At 36.5% G+C, this 20,825-nt stretch overlaps 1 protein-coding gene across 7 annotated transcripts in view, besides 1 other annotated feature; it reads right to left on the reverse strand.

The window, feature by feature from the left end:
- STPG2 (sperm tail PG-rich repeat containing 2) overlaps positions 1-20,825 on the reverse strand; it is a 702,228-nt gene that overhangs the window by 452,232 nt on the left and 229,171 nt on the right. The gene's annotated exons all lie outside the window — the stretch shown is intronic.
- Positions 10,349-10,897: an enhancer, noted in NCBI's record as "NANOG-H3K27ac hESC enhancer chr4:98824980-98825528 (GRCh37/hg19 assembly coordinates)". NCBI's record gives its function as "activates a minimal SCP1, AML or CMV promoter by ChIP-STARR-seq in naive H9 embryonic stem cells {active_cell/tissue: H9 hESC(naive)}" and the evidence as "EXISTENCE:reporter gene assay evidence [ECO:0000049][PMID:30033119]".

A 20,825-nucleotide genomic window follows, 5' to 3' on the forward strand; every position in this document is an offset into this window, starting at 1 on the left:
TAACACTCCTAGAAGTTGTAAGGGATTTAAGCTCTTCCAACTCACTGCTTTGCAGTCCCTAGATGAGGCCCTTGTCCTCATTGTCTAAACAATGGAAAAGAAAAATCATCCCCTCAATTTTCAAGAAATTTCTCAGAGTAAAAAAACTTACTGCTGTCAGGAAAATGTAAGGAAGGAGACTATTTTACTAAAGAGAAAATCAGATTCAGAGTTAGGAAGTAAATTAAATTACCTTTCATCGGCCAAAACTTAGTCTACAACTACATGTAGTTACAAATGGTACATTATTATAACAGAAGATTCAGAGGTTCTGCCAATAAGAAGAAAGGAAAGAATGGATGTTGAGGGAGACAGGTGGCAATCTCTAGACACCTGTGTTACATTTGTCTGAGTCCCCTAAAATCTATTATTTATAAATTTGGAAAGCAAAGATAATGGACCCTAGTATCAGGAACAGAAAGGGTAAAAGTCGATGGGGTATGAAACAGAATGTAAGAGAGGAAAATTAAAATATGTTTTCTTCCGTGCCAATAACAACAAAGTAGCTATTCAATTATATAGAGTATAAAGGTCTATGTGTTTAGAAACAAAAGTATAAGATACTTTGCAGAAATCTAGATGTATAAAAGTTTGGCCTTATGTAACTATGAAAGATGAACCATATTCTAGATTTGTGGTAGGAATGAATCCAGTTCTAAATATGAATTCACTTTTGAAATCCATTTTTCACATGCCTTTTTTGTAATACAGGTGACTCATGAATAACTTTAATATTTATTTATACATCACCTTATATCAAATGAAATTTAAGGTGTTAAATTCCTACATTAAAATATTACAATTTTCCTCACAACATTCATCTACGAAAAAATACAATGTAGTACAATTTCCCATTGTAACTACTCTGAATATAGGTTATTCAAACAAAAGCAACTGCTTCTGCCTCCTCGTTTCAAAAATAGAAGAAAATTTCCTTTCTAAGATAAGAAATTCCTTCTGTCTACTTTGGCTGTAACTTTGTCTTCTAGCAACTCCCATTTCTTATGATCATTTCTGATGGGTTCAACTTTTCTCTCCTCAGTTCATTTATCTCAGGATTCCCAATTAACTGCTCTACTCAATCTTAACCATGCTCTTCAGCTGTCAGCTTATTTTAATATTGAGCATATTCAAATGCTCAATATGATCTTCAGTTGTCACTGTCCCTACTAGTTTACGTGTCTAAATTGAAATCTTCCTTGATCTAAATTTATGTCAGTTCAGGAAGCTTGCACAAATTTCCAAATGCTGGTATCCTAATTCAGAGACTGGGGTCTCAACAATAGCTGTCAGCCTAAGGCTAGCGAGCAAAAGCAGCTGAGAGAAAGAGTAAGAAATGGATTTCTAAATTTGTTTTAAAAATTATTCAAGTGACAGTGCAAAGAAAAATATTTAAAAATTAGCAAGAATATTTGATCTATCACTTGCAGTCTCAATTTGATGATTTTCAACCACTCTCTAAAGTTTTTAAATAAATATGACCAAATGTTAAATAAAATCACACAGCTCAAACAGAACATAAGAATACTGTGTTTATTTCAAGAATCACAATAATTGTGGGCTCAAGGTATAACCCAGAAAGAAAATTCAATCTAGATATAGGGCCAAGCAATTGCAATAAAGTATGATAGTGATGACACGGTAATAATAATAATAGAAGAAATCTACCATTGTGCCAGAAAAATGTAAAAACAGGGCTTGTTGCTAAGATATTACCTTTGAACTGCCTAATCTACACCTAAAACATGACAAAGGAAACAAAAAGGCAATCTCTGTCTATAACGTAAAGAGTAAGAAATTATAAATCAACACTGATATCACATAAACTTTCAAGAGATATAGTCTAATTTATTGCAAAGTATCTCCTATGCAACTGAAAAAAGCATGGAGGATGTATGTCGATTCTGTATACACTCCATTAATTAGCCAATACAAAATAAGTCCTTTTATAAAGTCATAATTATTCCTTCTGAAATATGGCTTGACATGTACTTATCTCATAGCAATGGTTTGCATGATTCCCTTTTTTTTCCAATTTTGCTAACAAATTGAACTTAATAGCTACCAGAATTTTTAATAAATCCTAGACCTAGATTTTACATGCTGGCATAAGAATTCTGTAGTGATGCTTTCTTTCCTAAGTTCTTCTAATAAAATCCCCTTCCCTTGTCTATCAGTGAGATTTCTTCTGGTTGCATAAAACAGACAAAGAAACAAATGGACTTAAATAATACAGTAAGTTACGGGCTCATGTTACTGAAAAACCTAGAGCAATGGCTCTCAATCCTGTCTGTGGGAATCACTTGGAGAGGTTTATAAAATAATTCCCTTGCCCATATCCCAAGGCATCCTCCCCAGAAATTATTTAAGTGGTCTTGGGTACTTTAAAATATAATTTCACAAGTTCCCAGATAACATCAAGTGTGAACACAAGGCTAAACATCCCTGCTTTAGAAGAAAGTAAAGAGGCTTCAGGTGTGACTTTAAAAGTTTTTCAATTCCATTTTTCTCTGAGTCTGTAAGCCCAATTTCCTTCCAAGTGTCATCTCCTGCAGGAAGGCTTTCCTCATGATAGTATAATGGCTGCAGCCTTATATCCATATGTTACACAATTCAGAAAAAGATCAAGCTTTTTCTCCAAACATAGAACACAATCTGGGGTTATTCTCTGGGCCACCATAGCTCCTATTCCACCTGAACTCATCACTGTGGCAAGAGAGACAGAATTATGGTAATCATCATAACTAACCCAAATGAAGAAACATAGAATTAATATAAAATTTTGTGTCTAGAAGGAATGAAACCTATTACATACAAACTGAAGCAAACATGTCAACTACCACTTAAGGATGCCTATATAACTTAGAACACAAATGGAAAATAAGAGAAAAACCCCAAGTAAACAGTGTCAAAAGTAAACAAGTGCAGTTGCTGCAGATGTTTAATTTGCAAAAAGCACTACATAAGTAGGTAAGGATGACAGAAAATTTAAAAAATTAAACCTGTGAGAGATATGGCTAAAAAAATCTATGTTACTAATCTATTCTTAAGTTATAATGGATGGTTGCCGAATTTAAATACACCCATCACTATCTATTTATTCCTACATAAAAGTAATGATTAATTTAATTGAGAGTTGAATTATGGGACATCTTTATGAATGCAAATTTCACATCAAATAAATATTTTTATATTTTGTAAAAATTAAATGTTAATGAAAATGGTTTATAGCATAAAATGTTTATGATATAGTCTTATTAAAGAAAAACTACAAAAAAAGATATTTTCACAGTATTACAATGAAAGAAAAATTCACTAAAACATTAACAGTTGCTACTATTAGTTGGGAAGACTATATAAACTTATCTTTTTCCTTCTGCTTTTCTTTATTTAACTTTTATTTTAAGTTCTGGGTACATGTGCAGGATTGTTATATAGGTAAAGCTGTGTCATGAGGGTTTGTTGCACAAATTATTTCATCACCCAGGTATTAAGCCTAGTACCTATTAGTTATTATTCCTGATCCTCTCCCTCCTCCCACCCTCCACCTTTCAATAAGCCCCAGTGTGTGTTGTTCACCTCTATGTGTCCATATGTTCTCATCATTTAGCTCCCACTTACGAGTGAAAATATGCAGTATTTGGTTTTCTGTTCCTGCAATAGTTTGCTAAGAATAATGGCCTCCAGCTCCATCCATGTTCCTACAAAGGACATGATCTCATTCTTTTTTATAATTGCATAGTATTCCATGGTATATACGTACCCCATTTTTTATCCAGTCTATCACTGATGGACATTTAGGATGATTCCATGTCTTTGCTATTGTGAATAGTGCTGCAATGAACATATGCATACATGTGTCTTTATAACAGAATGATTTATATTCCTTTGGATATATACCCAGTAATGGGATCGCTGAGTTGAATGGTATTTCTGTTTTTAGGTCTTTGAAAAATCACCACCCTGTCTTCCACAATAGTTGAACTAATTTACACTCCCACTAACAGTGTGTTAGCATTCTTTTTTCTCTGCAACCTTGTCAGCATCTGTTATTTTTTGACTTTTTAATAACAGCCATTCTGACTGGTGTGATATGGTATCTCACTGTGGTTTCAAGTTACATTTCTCTAATGATCACTGATGTTGAGCTCTGTTTCATGTGATTGCTAGCTGCATGTATGTCTTCTTTTGAAAAGTGTGTGTTCACATCCTTTGTCTATTTTTTAATGGGGTTTTGTTTTTCTCTTGTAAATTTGTTTAAGTTCCTTATAGATGCTGGATATTAGACCTTTGTCAGGTGCATAGTTTACAAAAATTTCCTCCCATTCTGTAGGTTGTCTGTTCACTCTGTTGATAGCCTCCTTTGCCATGCAGAAGCTCTTAAGTATAATTAGATCCCTCTTGTCAATTTTTGCTTTTGTGTAATTGCTTTCAGTATCTTTGTCATGAAATCTTTGCCCACTCCTATTCCAGAATAGTATTGTCCAGGTTGTCTTCAAGGTTTTTTATAGTCTTGGGTTTTACATTTAAGTCTTTAATCCATCCTGAGTTAAATTTTGATTATGGCGTAAGGAAGAAGTCCAGATTCAATCTTCGGCATATGGCTAGCCAGTTATCTCAGCAGCATTTATTGAACAGTGACTCCTGTCTCCATTGCTTGATTTTGTCAGCTTTGTCAAAGATCAGATGGTTGTAGGTATCCAGACTTCTTTCTGGACTCTCTAGTTGTTCCATTGGAATATGTGTCTGCTTTTGTATCCTTTGCATTTTTCTATCTTCAAAAATTTCTTCAATGATCATGTGTTACTCTTATAAATTTTAAAAAATCTTAATTACCAATAAGTTGTCCAATTACAGAATTGTTGGAAATGAGGAAAATAAGAAACTCTCAAAAATCCTTCACTTCATTTTAATACTTGAACTTCTAGATTTTTTTTCCAGTAATTGAATATTTAATCATAAAATCTGTGTGAATGTTCTTTGTATAAATGTCAAAGGTATGTTATTTCAATGCTTAAAACAAATGAAAATATCAATATCTCGAATGTTTCTATACAAGAAAACACTTCACAGTACCCTCAGTAACCATCATCTAGCCCTTGTCTAACATAATCTCCATGAGGAGGCATTTAGTTTTACATGACACTGCCTACCATATAATTTAAAAGCTTTAATTATTAGATTACAAACAACTTAAGTGCAATGAAAGAATCATATATTTAGAATCAAAATGCTGATAAATTAAAATTTTAAAATTCTGAAAGGATATGGGGAAGAGAGAAAAATGATGAGCAAAATTCGTATCTTTTATAATTAAATTACATTTTACACATATAAAAATTCAATTATTATTTGTATAATGAAAATGAAAGGAAATGGGAGAATGACTTTGAAAAGGATAACTTTAAGAGGTGAACTCCTATTCAACATAGTATTGAAAGTCCTAGTCAGAGCAATCAGGCAAGAGAAAAAAATAAAGGGCATCCAAAAGGAACAGAGAGGAAGTCAAACTATCTCTGTTTGCAAATTACATGATTCTGGATCTAGAAAACCCCATAATCTCAGCCCAAAAGCTCCTTCAGCTAATAAACAACTACACCAAACTTTCAGGATATGAAATCAATATACAAAACTCACTACCTTACCTATACACCAACAATAGGCAAACTGAGAGCCAAATCAAAAATGTAATCTTATTTACAATTGCCACAAAAAGAATAAAATAACAAGGAATACAACTAACCAGAGAGGTGAAATATCTCTACAATGAGAGTTACAAAACAGTGCTCACAGAAATCAGAGAAGACACAAACAAATGAAAAAGCATCCCATGCTCATGGATAGGAAGAATCAATATCATTAAAATGGCCATACTGCCCAAAGCAATTTACAGATTTAATGCTTTTCCTATCAAACTACCAATGATTTTCTTCACTGAACTAGAAAAAAAATTTTAAAATTCACATGAAACCAAAAAAGAATCCAAATAGCCAAGGTAATTCTAAGCAAAAAGAACAAAGCTGGAGGCATTACACTACCCAAATTCAAATTATATTACAGGGCTACAGTAACCAAAACAGTGTGGTAATAGTACAAAAACAGGCACATAAACCAACAGAACAGAATAGAGCACCCAGAAATAAGGCTGCACATCTACAACCATCTGATCTTTAACAAACCTGACAAAAACATGCAATGGGGAAAATAATCCCTATTCAATAAATGGTGCCGGGATAACTGGCAGCTACATGCAGAATATTGAAGCTGGACCCCTTCCTTATACCATATACAAAAATCAGCTTAAGATGGATTAAAGACTTAAATGTAAAAATCCAAACTATAAAAACCCTTGAAGACAACCTAGGCAATATCATTCTGGACACAGGAATGGGCAAAGATTTCATGACAAAGATACTGAAAGCAATCACAACAAAAGCAAATGAAACTATCAACAGAGTGAACAGACAACCTACAGAATGGAAGGAAATTTTTGCAAACTATGCATCTGACAAAGGTCTAATATCCAGTATCTATAAGGAACTTAAACAAATTTACAACAGAAAAACAACCCCATTAAAAAGTTAGCAAAGGACATGAACAGATACTTTTCAAAAGAAGACATACATGCAGCCAACAAGCATTTGGGGAAAAAATGCTGAATATCACTAATAATTATACAAATGCAAATCAAAACCACAATGAGATAGTGTTTCACACCAGTCAGAATGGCTATTGTTAAAAAGTCAAAAAATAACAGATGCTGACAAGGTTGCAGAAAAAGAAATGCTAATATACTGTCAATGGGAGTGTAAATTAGTTCAACCATTGTGGAAAGCAGTATGGCAATTCCTCAAAGAGCTAAAAGCAGAATTACCATTCAACGCAGCAATCCCATTACCGGGTATATTCCCAGAGGAATAGAAATCATTCTACCATAAAAACAGATGCACATGAATGAATCACTGCAGCCCTATTCACAATACCAAAGACATGGAATCAACCTCAGTGACCATTAATGACAGACTGGATAAAGAAAATGTGGTGTATATACACAATGAAATACCATGCTGCCATAAGAAAGAACAAGATCATGTCTTTTGCAGAAACATGGATAGATCTGGAGGCCATTATTCTTACCAAACTAACACAGAAACAGAAAATCAAATACCACATGTTCTCACTTTTAAGTGGGAGCTAAATGATGAGAACTTATGAACACAAAGAAGATAACAGCAGACACTGGAGTCTACTTGTGGGTGGAGGGTGGAAGGAAGGAAAGGAGCAGAAAAGATAACTGTTGGGTATTGGACTTAATGCCTGGGTAACGAAATAATCTTTACAACAAACCTCTGTGACACAAGTTTACCTATGTAACAAACCTTCATATGTATCCTCAAACTGAAAATAAAAGTTTTTTTAAAACATAAGAGGTGAAAATAACCTTTAAACTTTCTTATTTTGTTTTGATTTTGCAAATCAGGCAACACTCAAAGAAAAAAACAAATCCACATTGCAAGTTCAAGATTTTAATGCAATTGTCCTTGTAACATATTGAATAAACAAACAAAACTTACATAAGTATATGGAAGACTTGAATAACAGAATTAACAAATTTAGGATGATTGACATATTTATATCATTGTGTCCCATAACTACAGAATGTACCTCAAAATGAAAATAAAGGCCATGTATGACAAGCCCACAGCTAACATCATACTCAATGGGGAAAAGTTCAAAGCTTTTCCTTTAAGATCAGGAACAAGACAAAGATGCCCACTTTGCCACTTCAATCTAGTACTAGAAGTTCTAGCCAGAACAATTGGGCAAGAAAAAAAATAATAAAAGGCATCCAACTCAGAAAAGAAGAAGCAAAATTGTTTCTGTTTGAGGATGACATGTTCTTACATATAGAAAGCTCTAAAGACTACTGCCCCCCCAAAAAAAGTTACAACTAATAATACAGTAATGTTACAGAATACAAAATTAACATACAAAAATCACATGCTTGCACTAACAACAAACTATTTGTTAAAGACATTAAGAAAACCATCTTATTTCTTATAGTATCAAAATGTTATTTAGGAATAAATTTAACCAAGAGGGTGAAAGATCTGTATGCTGAAAACTATAAAATATTGATAAAAGAAATAGAAGATACAAATAAATGAAAAGATACCCTATATTCATGAATGTAAAGAATTAATACTGTCAAAACATTACTGAAAGTAATATACAGATTCAATGCAATCCCTATCAAAATTTCACGACATTTTTCACAGAAATAAAAAAAATCCTAAAATTCATATGGAGCCACAAAAGACTCCAAATAACTAAAGCACACTTGAGTAAGAAGGACAAAGTTGCAGGCATACAGATCCTTATTTCAAATATATTATAAAGCTATAATAATCAAACAGTATAGTACTGACATAGCAGATACATAGAAAAATAGAACAAAATAGAAAGCCTGGAAATAAACCCACACATATACTATCAACAAATCTTTGGCAAAATCACCAAAAATGAATGATATAGAAAGGATATTCTCTTCAATAAATAGTCTTGAGAAACCTGAGTATCCATGAGCAAAAGAATAAAATCAGATCCTTAACACCATATAAAAAGATCAATTCAAAATCAATTAAAGACTTAAATGTCAGACCTGAAACCACAGGATTTCTAGAAGAAAACAGAGGGGGAAAGCTCTATGACACTGGTCTTGGAAATAATCTCATGGATCTGAGATCATAAGCACAGGCAACAAAAGCAAAATTAAACAAGTGGGACTATATAAAACTTAAAAGCTTCTGCGCTGCAAAGGAGACAATCAACAAAACAAAAAGGCAACCTACAGAATAAAAGAAAATATTTGCAAACTACATACCTGATAAGGGTTAATCTTCAAAACATACAAAGAACTCATAAACTCAACAAAAAGAAACAAATAACTAACAGTTGGCAAAATACTTGAATAAGATATTTTTCTAAAGAAGACATTTGTATGGCCAATAGATATATGAACTAATGCTCAACATCACTAATCATCAGGGAAATGAAAATCAAAACCACAAGGAGATACCACTTCACATCTTTAAGAAGGATTATCATCAAAAAACTCAAAGGTAACCGGTGTAGCTGAGGATGTGTAGAAAAGAAAGCTCTTACATATTTTGGTGGGTATGTAAATTGGTACAGTCATTATGGAAAACAGTATAGAGGCTCCTCAAAATATTAAAAATAGAACTACTGTATGATCCTGCAACTTCACTTTTGGCTATACATCCAAAAGAAATAAAATCAGTATGTTGAAGAGATATCAGTACTTCCATTTTCATTGCAGCATTATTCACAAGAGCCAAGATATGAAATCAACATAAGTGGCCACTAATGGATGAACAGATAGAGAAAATGTGATATATATATTTATATGAATGAATATTATTCAGCCTTTAAAAAGAAAAAGTTTGCATGATCTCACTTATATATAGTCTTAAAAAGTCAAACTCATAGAAACAGAGTAGAAGGATGGTTACTAGGAGTCAGGATATCAGAAAAATGAGATGGTGGTCAAAGGGTTCAAACTCGAAGTTACAAAATGAATATATTCTGGACACCTACCGCACAGCATAGTGACTGTAATAATAACAGTGTATTGTATACTTGAAATTTGCCAAGAGAATAGATCTCAATTATTCTAATTACATACACACAAAAAGGAAACTATATGAGATAATGGATATGATAATATGATTAGTTGTGGCAATTATTCTACAATGTATGTGCATATATGTGTGTATCTCAAAACATCACATTGTACACTTTGAATATACACAATTTTTATTTGTCAATTACACTTCATTATAGCTGGAAAAAATTAAAATTAAAAAATGGCCAAAAATCAAGTATCTAAGCATACAATTAAAAATCTAAAAAAAAAACAGCAAATTAAATAAAGTAAATAAAGGAGAAAAATAATAGACAGTGAGTACAATAAATATAGAATCAAAAATAAAGCCACAAGACGGCTATTTTAAAAGACCAATAAAACTCATGTAGTAAGACCGATTAACAAAAAAAGAGGGGAAGGAGCCAAGATGGCCGAATAGCAACAGCTCCCAGCGTGAGCAACGCAGAAGACTGGTGATTTCTGCATTTCCATCTGAGGTACTGGGTTCATCTCACTAGGGAGTGCCAGACAGTGGGCGCAGGTCAGTGGGTGCGCAAACTGTGCAGGAGCCGAAGCAGGGCGAGACATTGCCTCACTCGGGAAGCGCAAGGGGTCAGGGAGTTCCCTTTCCTAGTCAAAAAAAGGGGTGACAGATGGCACCTGGAAAATCGGGTCACTCCCACCCGAATACTGCGCTTTTCCAACGGGCTTAAAAAATGGCGCACCACGAGATTATATTCCGCACCTGGCTCAGAGAGTCCTACGCCCACAGAGTCTCGCTGATTGCTAGCACAGCAGTCTGAGATCAAACTGCAAGGCAGCAGCGAGGCTGGGGGAGGGGCGCCCAGCATTGCCCAGGCTTGCTTAGGTAAACAAAGCAGCTGGAAAGCTCGAACTGGGTGGAGCCCACCACAGCTGAAGGAGGCCTGCCTGCCTCTGTAGGCTCCACCTCTGGGGGCAGGGCACAGAAAAACAAAAAGACAGCAGTAACCTCTGCAGACTTAAATGTCCCTGTCTAACAGCTTTGAAGAGAGCAGTGGTTCTCCCAGCACACAGCTGGAGATCTGAGAACAGGCAGACTGCCTCCTCAAGTGGGTCCCTGACCCCTGACCCCCGAGCAGCCTAACTGGGAGGCACCCCCCAGCAGGGGCAGACTGACACCTCACACGGCTGGCCAGGTACTCCAACAGACCTGCAGCTGAGGGTCCTGTCTGTTAAAAGGAAAACTAACAAACAGAAAGGATATCCACACCAAAAACCCATCTGTACATCACCATCATCAAAGACCAAAAGTAGATAAAACCACAAAGATGGGGAAAAAACAGAACAGAAAAACTGGAAACTCTAAAAAGCAGTTTCCTGCCTCTCCTCCTCCAAAGGAACGCAGTTCCTCACCAGCAACGGAACAAAGCTGGACAGAGAATGACTTTGACGAGCTGATAGAAGAAGGATTCAGATAATCAAATTACTCCGAGCTATGGGAGGACATTCAAACCAAAGGCAAAGAAGTTGAAAACTTTGAAAAAAATTTAGAAGAATGTATAACTAGAATAATCAATACAGAGAAGTGCCTAAAGGAGCTGATGGAGCTGAAAACCAAGGCTTGAGAACTACGTGAAGAATGCAGAAGGCTCAGAAGCCGATGCAATCAACTGGAAGAAAGGGTATCAGCGATGGAAGATGAAATGAATGAAATGAAGTGAGAAGGGAACTTTAGAGAAAAAGAATAAAAAGAAACGAGCAAAGCCTCCAAGAAATATGGGACTATGTGAAAAGACAAAATCTACGTCTGATTGGTGTACCTGAAAGTGACGGGGAGAATGGAACCAAGTTGGAAAACACTCTGCAGGATATTATCCAGGAGAATTTCCCCAATCTAGCAAGGCAGGCCAACATTCAGATTCAGGAAGTACAGAGAACGCCACAAAGATACTCCTCGAGAAGAGCAACTCCAAGACACATGATTGTCAGATTCACCAAAGTTGAAATGAAGGAAAAAATGTTAAGGGCAGCCAGAGAGAAAGGTCGGGTTACCCTCAAAGGGAAGCCCATCAGACTAACAGCGGATGTCTCGGCAGAAACTCTACAAGCCAGAAGACAGTGGGGGCCAATATTCAACATTCTTAAAGAAAAGAATTTTCAACCCACAATTTCATATCCAGCCAAACTAAGCTTCATAAGTGAAGGAGAAATAAAATACTTTACAGACAAGCAAATGCTGAGAGATTTTGTCACCACCAGGCCTGCCCTAAAAGAGCTCCTGAAGGAAGTGCCAAACATGGAAAGGAACAACCGGTACCAGCCACTGCAAAATCATGCCAAAATGTAAAGACCATCGAGACTAGGAAGAAACTGCATCAACTAACGAGCAAAATAACCAGTTAACATCATAATGACAGGATCAAATTCACACATAACAATATTAACTTTAAATGTAAATGGACTAAATGCTCCATTAAAAGACACAGACTGGCAAATTGGATAAAGAGTCAAGATCCATCAGTGTGCTGTATTCAGGAAACCCATCTCACGTGCAGAGACACACATAGGCTCAAAATAAAAGGATGGAGGAAGATCTACCAAGCAAATGGAAAATAAAAAAAGGCAGGAGTTGCAATTCTTTGAAACCAACGAGAACAAAGACACAACATACCAGAATCTCTGGGACGCATTCAAAGCAGTGTGTAGAGGGAAATTTATAGAACTAAATGCCCACAAGAGAAAGCAGGAAAGATCCAAAATTGACGCCCTAACATCACAATTAAAAGAACTAGAAAAGCAAGAGCAAACACATTCAAAAGCCAGCAGAAGGCAAGAAATAACTAAGATCAGAGCAGAACTGAAGGAAATAGAGACACAAAAACCCTTCAAAAAAGTAATGAATCCAGCAGCTGGTTTTTTGAAAGGATCAACAAAACTGATAGACCGCTAGCAAGACTAATAAGGAAAAAAAGAGAGAAGAATCAAATAGATGCAATAAAAAATGATAAAGGGGATATCACCACCGATCCCACAGAAATACAAACTACTATCAGAGAATACTACAAACACCTCTACGCAAATAAACTAGAAAATCTAGAAGAAATGGATAAATTCCTCGAAACATACACCCTCCCAAGACTAAACCAGGAAGAAGTTGAATCTCTGAATACACCAATAAAAGGATCTGAAATTGTGGCAATAGTCAATAGCTTACCAACCAAAAAGAGTCCAGGACCAGATGGATTCACAGCCGAATTCTACCAGAGGTACAAGGAGGAGCTGGTACCATTCCTTCTGAAACTATTCCTATCAATAGAAAAAGAGAGAATCCTCCCTAACTCATTTTATCAGGCCAGTATCATCCTGATACCAAAGCCTGGCAGAGACACAACCAAAAAAGAGAATTTTAGACCAATATCCTTGATGAACATTGATGCAAAAATCCTCAATAAAATATTGGCAAACCGAATCCAGCAGCACATCAAAAAGCTTATCCACCATGATCAAGTGGGCTTCATCCCTGGGATGCAAGGCTGGTTCAATATACACAAATCAATAAATGTAATCCAGCATATAAACAGAGCCAAAGACAAAAACCACATGATTATCTCAATAGATGCAGAAAAGGCCTTTGACAAAATTCAACACCCCGTCAAACTAAAAATTCTCAATAAATTAGGTATTGATGGGACGTATCTCAAAATAATAAGAGCTATCTATGACAAACCCACAGCCAATCTCATACTGAATGGGCAAAAACTGGAAGCATTCCCTTTGAAAACTGGCACAAGACAGGGATGCCCTCTCTCACCACTCCTATTCAACATAGTGTTGGAAGTTCTGGCCAGGGCAATTAGGCAGGAGAAGGAAATAAAGGGTATTCAATTAGGAAAAGAGGAAGTCAAATTGTCCCTGTTTGCAGACGACATGATTGTATATCTAGGGAACCCCATTATCTCAGCCCAAAATCTCCTTAAGCTGATAAGCAACTTCAGCAAAGTCTCAGGATACAAAATCAATGTACAAAAATCACAAGCATTCTTATACACCAACAACAGACAAACAGAGAGCCAAATCATGAGTGAACTCCCATTCACAATTGCTTCCAAGAGAATAAAATACCTAGGAATCCAACTTACAAGGGATGTGAAGGACCTCTTCAAGGAGAACTACAAACCACTGCTCAAGGAAATAAAAGAAGATACAAACAAATGGAAGAATAATCCATGTTCATGGGTAGGAAGAATCAATATTGTGAAAATGGCCATACTGCCCAAGGTAATTTACAGATTCAATGCCATCCCCATCAAGCTACCAATGCCTTTCTTCACAGAATTGGAAAAAACTACTTTAAAGTTCATATGGAACCAAAAAAGAGCCTACATCGCCAAGTCAATCCTAAGCCAAAAGAACAAAGCTGGAGGCATCATGCTACCTGACTTCAAACTATACTACAAGGCTACAGTAACCAAAACAGCATGGTACTGGTACCAAAACAGAGATATAGACCAATGGAACAGAACAGAGCCCTCAGAAATAACGCCACTTATCTACAACCATCTGATCTTTGACAAACCTCAGAAAAACAAGCAATGGGGAAAGGATTCCCTATTTAATAAATAGTGGTGGGAAAACTGGCTAGCCATATGTAGAAAGCTGAAACTGGATCCCTTCCTTACACCTTATACAAAAATCAATTCAAGATGGATTAAAGACTTAAACGTTAGACCTAAAACCATAAAAACCCTAGAAGAAAACCTAGGCCTGACCATTCAGGTCATAGGCTTGGGCAAGGTCTTCATGTCTAAAACACCAAAAGCAATGGCAACAAAAGCCAAAATTGACAAATGGGATCTTATTAAACTAAAGAGCTTCTGCACAGCAAAAGAAACTACCATCAGAGTGAACAGGCAACCTACAAAATGGGAGAAAATTTTCGCAACCTACTCATCTGACAAAGGGCTAATATCCAGAATCTACAATGAACTCAAACAAATTTACAAGAAAAAAACAACCCCATCAAAAAGTGGGCAAAGGACATGAACACACACTTCTCAAAAGAAGACATTTATGCAGCCAAAAAACACATGAAAAAATGCTCACCATCACTGGCCATCAGAGAAATGCAAATCAAAACCACAATGAGATACCATCTCACACCACTTAGAATGGCAATCATTAAAAAGTCAGGAAACAACAGGTGCTGGAGAGGATGTGGAGAAATAGGAACACTTTTACGCTGTTGGTGGGACTGTAAACTAGTTCAACCATTGTGGAAGTCAGTGTGGCGATTCCTCAGGGATCTAGAACTAGAAATACCATTTGACCCAGCCATCCCATTACTGGGTATATACCCAAAGGATTATAAATCATGCTGCTATAAAGACACATGCACACATATGTTTATTGCAGCATTATTCACAATAGCAAAGACTTGGAACCAACCCAAATGTCCAACAATGATAGACTGGATTAAGAAAATGTGGCACATATACACCATGGAATACTATGCAGCCATAAAAAATGATGAGTACATGTCCTTTGTAGGGACATGGATGAAATTGGAAATCATCATTCTCAGTAAACTATCGCAAGAACAAAAAACCAAACACCGCATATTCTCACTCATAGGTGGGAATTGAACAATGAGAACACATGGACACGGGAAGGGGAACATCACATTCTGGGGACTGTTGTGGGGTTGGGGGAGGGGGGAGGGATAGCATTGGGCGATATACCTAATGCTAGATGACAAGTTAGTGGGTGCAGCGCACCAGCATGGCACATGTATACATATGTAACTAACCTGCACATTGTGCACATGTACCCTAAAACTTAAAGTATAATAATAATAATAATAATAATAATAATAATAAGTTGTGGCAGCTGCTATAATAAACAACCCATCAAGCCCCAATAAACAATCAAAAGGCAAACAAACAAAAACAAAAACAAAAACAAACAGAAAGAGTGAAAAAGCATAAGCTAATCAGGAATTTTAAGAAGCAATTGTTAATTATATATCCTAGAAACATTAAAAATAATAAAAGCACATTATGAACAACTTTATGCAAATACATTTGAAAATTTAAATAAAATGAAAAGAAATTGGCAGAAGAAAAAAATGAAAAATAATTTCTAAATCTACCAAATCTACCAAATTTAATCTGTTATTAAAAGCTATCTTACATAAAGAATCTACCCTCAAATGGTTACACCAGTAAATTCAACAACAATCTCACACAAATTCTTTCAGAAAATGGAAAAACAGGCAACACTTACCAACTTTATGTGGTGACCATAACCATGACATCAAACCCTAACAAGGAAATTACTAAAAAGGAAATTACAGACCAATGCATCCCACAAAAATAGAAACAAAAGTCCTAAATAAAATATTAGTAAATAGTGCTGTGACATATTAAAAGGATACATCAAAAACACCTACATTTTATTCAACACATGCAAAAATAAATTTGCATTTAAAAAGTAATCAATATAATTTACTTGATAAGAGAATTAAAAAATCATAAGTAACCCAATAGATTTGAAAAAATGCTTAATAAAATTTAGAATATATTCCTAATATAACACTTGATAAACTAGAAATAGAAGCAGACTTCTTTAAATGGTAAATAATATTTTTAAATTACTAAGCATATTATACAGTATAGTGAATTATTAAAACTTTCCCCCAGAAACAAGCTAAGGATACTCACTTGCACCAGTTTTATCCAGCATCCTACTGATGATGCCAATGCCACTACACTAAAACATGATAATAATAATAATATTCATAGGATTTGTAAAGTCACTTTCCATAGATTATATGACTTTGTATGTAAATATTCTGAAGTAAATCCCTGCAGAAAAACTTGTGACTATACCCTCTCTGCTCCACAGAAATACCACAAAAGGAACTTCATCCTGCCCCTTCCCCACCAAGTTTTGTAGAGATTGTTATGCAGAGTCCTGTTGACTCCCTAGGTACTGTACTAACAAGGTGACATTCCTCCCACTCACCACCGGGTGCTGCAGAAACTCTTGGGCAGAGCCATGTCATCGAACTCATCCTGTACTAAGTAAATAACAGCAAAAGGCAGCACCTTGCCTCTTCCCAGCTAGATAATAGTTGAGAAGTGGTAGATTATGGAAAGGTCGGGGAAAATAAAGGAAATGTTCAAATCTGTGTATGAAATCCTGCATATACTCCCAAAAGACTCATAGGTGAAACTAAAATCAATATAGCAAAAGCTCTGAAAATTAAATTATCATGTGGAATACTGTCCATGTTTCAAAAAGTCCACTGGGTACCATATAAACAGAACAGAAAAGTACTGTGGCGTTTTTAAGCACCAAATTGACATCTGAACCACAGCCCACAAAAGTGGTCCAGGATATATGCTTTAAACCCAAATAATCTGACTTTCTACTAAAACAGAAGATGTAAATAGAAACTGTAATTTCATAACACGATACTGAAAATGTATAGAACGCATTTCAAAAGTACTCATCATAACAATAAAAAGAAAAAATTTCAACTAAAATGAGAAAAGACAGTCAACAGATGACAACACCAAGATGGAACAAATGCTAGAAGTATCTGACAAGACATTTAAAGCAGGTATCATACGAAAGTATCAACAAGCAATTATAAATTCTTGGAAAAAAATAAAAATTAGGGGGCAGGCCAAGATGACCAATTAGAAGCAGCTGCGAACTGCGGCTTTCACAGAGAAGAACAAAAATGGAAAGTGAATTCTACACCTTCAACTAAGGTATCCAGGTTCTCGTTTGGTACTGACTACGCAATCGGCGTGACCCATGTAGAGAGAGGAAAAACAGAGTGGGGCAATAGCTCACCTGGAAGCACAAGCCGCATGGGCAAGGGGAGCTCCCAGCTCCAGCCAAGAAAGGGGGTGAGTGATTGTGCGACCCTGCCTGGGAAACCAGGCTTTTCCCACAGATCTTTGCAACCCACGAATAAGATCCCTTCAAGCCCAGGCCACCAGGGCCTTGGGTGAAAAGCACAGAGCTGTGCAGACTGTCAGCGGCTGATCTGGCACACACAGAAACACAGGAGTTTTTGCATACTCCGTGCCTGGGAATTCCAATGAGGCAGGACACCCGTCCATTCCTGTAGAAAAGCCAGGGAGCCAAGCAGGCTCGTTCAGCAGGCCCCACTCCCAGAGCTCCTCACAAGTTAAGACCCACTGGCTTGGAACTCCAGACGCCCAGTGGCAATAGGTTGGAGACTGCCTGCGACTACCAAGTTCCCGGGGGGCAGGGGCAGCTGCCATCTCTGCAGCTGGAGTCAGCCATCCTGGCCTGCAGCTCCTGGAAGTCTGGGTGGTCCAGATTGGGAGGAATTCCCCACAACACAGCACAGCTGCTGTGGCAAATCGTGGCCAGACTGCTTTTTTAAGTGGGACCCTAATCCATCCCTCCTCACCAGGCAAGTCCTTCCTGGAGGAATTTCAGCAACTCTAGCAAGGGTTTTACCAGACAGAACTCTGATCTCCCTGGGAGGGAGCCCCTGGTGGGGAGAAGCGACAAAGGTCTTCACGGTTCAGCAGACATAGCATTTCCTGCCTGCCGGCTGTGGAGAGTCTGGGCGGTCTGCAGGAGAAGGGTTCTCCAGCACAGCGGAGTCACCCCACCAAGAGGCAGCCAGACTGCTTCTTTAAGCAGGTCCCTAATCCCGTTCTTCCCGACTGGGTGACCTCCAACAAGAGTCTCCAGACACCTCCTACAGGAATATTTGAGCTGGCATCAGGTTCGTACCCTTCTGGAACAAAGCTCCCTGAGGAAGGAGCAGGCTGCCATCTTTACTGTGTTGTAATCTCCACTGGTGATACCGTCAGGTGTGGGAGGGACCCAGGCGATTAGGGTCCGGAGTGGACCCCCCAAAACACGCGGCAGCCCTGCAGAAGAGCGGCCTGTTAGAAGAAAAACAGAAAGAAAAAAAAACACCCTACAAAAAAAACATTCAAAGATCAGCAACCTCAAAGATCGAAGGTAGATAAGCCCACAAAGATGAGGGAAAAAAATCAACACAAAAACACTGAAAAGTCAAAAAACTACAGCGCCTATTCTTCAAATGATCACAATGCCTCTCCAGCAAGGGCACAGAACTGGGCTGAGGCTGAGACCGCTGAATTGAAAGAAGTAGACTTCAGAAGGTGGATAATAATTAACTTGGCTGAGCTAAAGGAACATGTTGTAACCCAACACAAAGAAGCTAACAATCAAGATAAAACAATACAGGAGCTGACAGCCACAATAGCCAGTTTAGAGAGAAACATAACCAACCTGATGGAGCTGAAATACAACACAAAAACTTCACGATGCACTCACAAGTATCAATACCAGAATAGACCAAGTGGAGGAAAGAATCTCAGAGCTTGAAGATGACCTTTCTGAAATGAGACAGGCAAACAAGAATAGAGAGAAAAGAATGAGAAGGAATGAACAAAAAAGAATGAAAAGGAATAACAAAGCCTCCAAGAAATTTGGGATAATTTAAAAAGACCAAACCTATGAATGATTGAGGTGCCTGAAAGAGACAGAAAGAACAGAATCAAGTTGGAAAGCATACTGCAGGATATCATCTAGGAGATGCCATGCATTGGCATTTTGTAAAGTTCTCTAGATGATTCTAAGAAGCTTTTTAAGAGTTGAGAAACGCTGGCCTAAATAAGTGACAAATAATTTTGACCTACCATAAAATGGAGACATCTAATTGTACTAATGACCCAATAATACAATTCTAAAGAGGAAAGAGATACCTTTATGATAAAGCTTAGAAGGACCTGATAGCTTCTAACAAAAAGTTCTTTTAGCAGAACAAATTTACGCTGATGTCTATCTTCCAAGAATGCTAACAACATAATAGGTATTTTATAATTGTGCTAAAATTCAGCTTTATTCTGAAAATAGTTTGTATAATATAAGCTTCAAGGAAAATTCAGAGTTGTGACAGAGACAGAAACAGGCAATGAAGGAGAATAAATAAGCTGTCCTGGGAAGTTAACAAATGATTCTATTTTTCTTCATCTTTATCAATCACTTTATTAACTTTAAGAACAAGCTCAAATTTTACTTCCCTCAAAACCGGTATCTGCCTAATCCATCACTTGAGCTGTATTTTCCAATACTTACATGCTGTTTGTTTGGAATTAGAGCAAATAAAGAAGTTACAAAAACTGATTGGTTTTGGATGCATTAAAATTAGAAATACCAATTAGAAATCCAAGTTGAGACATCAGAGAGACAAGTATGAATATGTCTGAAGTCAAGGAAGACGATAGGCTATAGACATAAATAACTTATTGGGTTCCTAACCTATAGAACAGCTCCTCCTCCTTGCGCATATAATAATGATAGTATAGCTTTAAATTATCAATTAAGATTACAGTGCACAGTGATAGGTAATTCCAAGTTTGGCAATATTCCCAAGGGTCATCAGTAGTGGAACACACACCTCCACATTATGGAATAAAGAGTAAAAATCCTCATTCCTTATAGGGGCTTCATAATGTTGATAAATAAAACAAATATCAGAATCAATAGGTTTCAAATTTTAAAACTTTCTAGTGCATACATAAACCCCAAAATGTTCTACATAATCTGATGCTAAATTTGAAATTTAAGTGTGAATATATTAAATTTAATAAGCAAATTTAAATGAGCAAGTTGAAGAAAAATTTTAACATTTACAATAATATAATTTTTAGATACTTCCTGACTTTGAGTGTTTATTTCAATCAGAAATAACATAAAATTATAATTGCAAATCCTGAGAATATTCAAGCTCAAATCAAAGCTGTACATTCAGAATAAGGTACTAAAAGTAAAATTTCTACGATACGTAACAGCTATGAAACATAGACCTACACATGCAATACAATCAAACCTTTGAAATGATTTATCTGAACTGGATACACACAGTGCTTGACACCAACAAGCACGAAAATCTCCCTCTATAGAGCTGTTTTCAGAGTAATCTTTGTCTGAAAGTAAATTATTACCCCAAGTTAAACTGATTGCTCATCATATATTCCAAGAAATTTCTTTTAAGGTAAACACAACTAATCTGAGGATTCTCTGAAGCCCAATTGAAAACATTGTAATAGTG

Source organism: Homo sapiens, chromosome 4, assembly GCF_000001405.40.
Source record: "Homo sapiens chromosome 4, GRCh38.p14 Primary Assembly".
NCBI classification, from domain to species: Eukaryota; Metazoa; Chordata; class Mammalia; order Primates; family Hominidae; genus Homo; species Homo sapiens.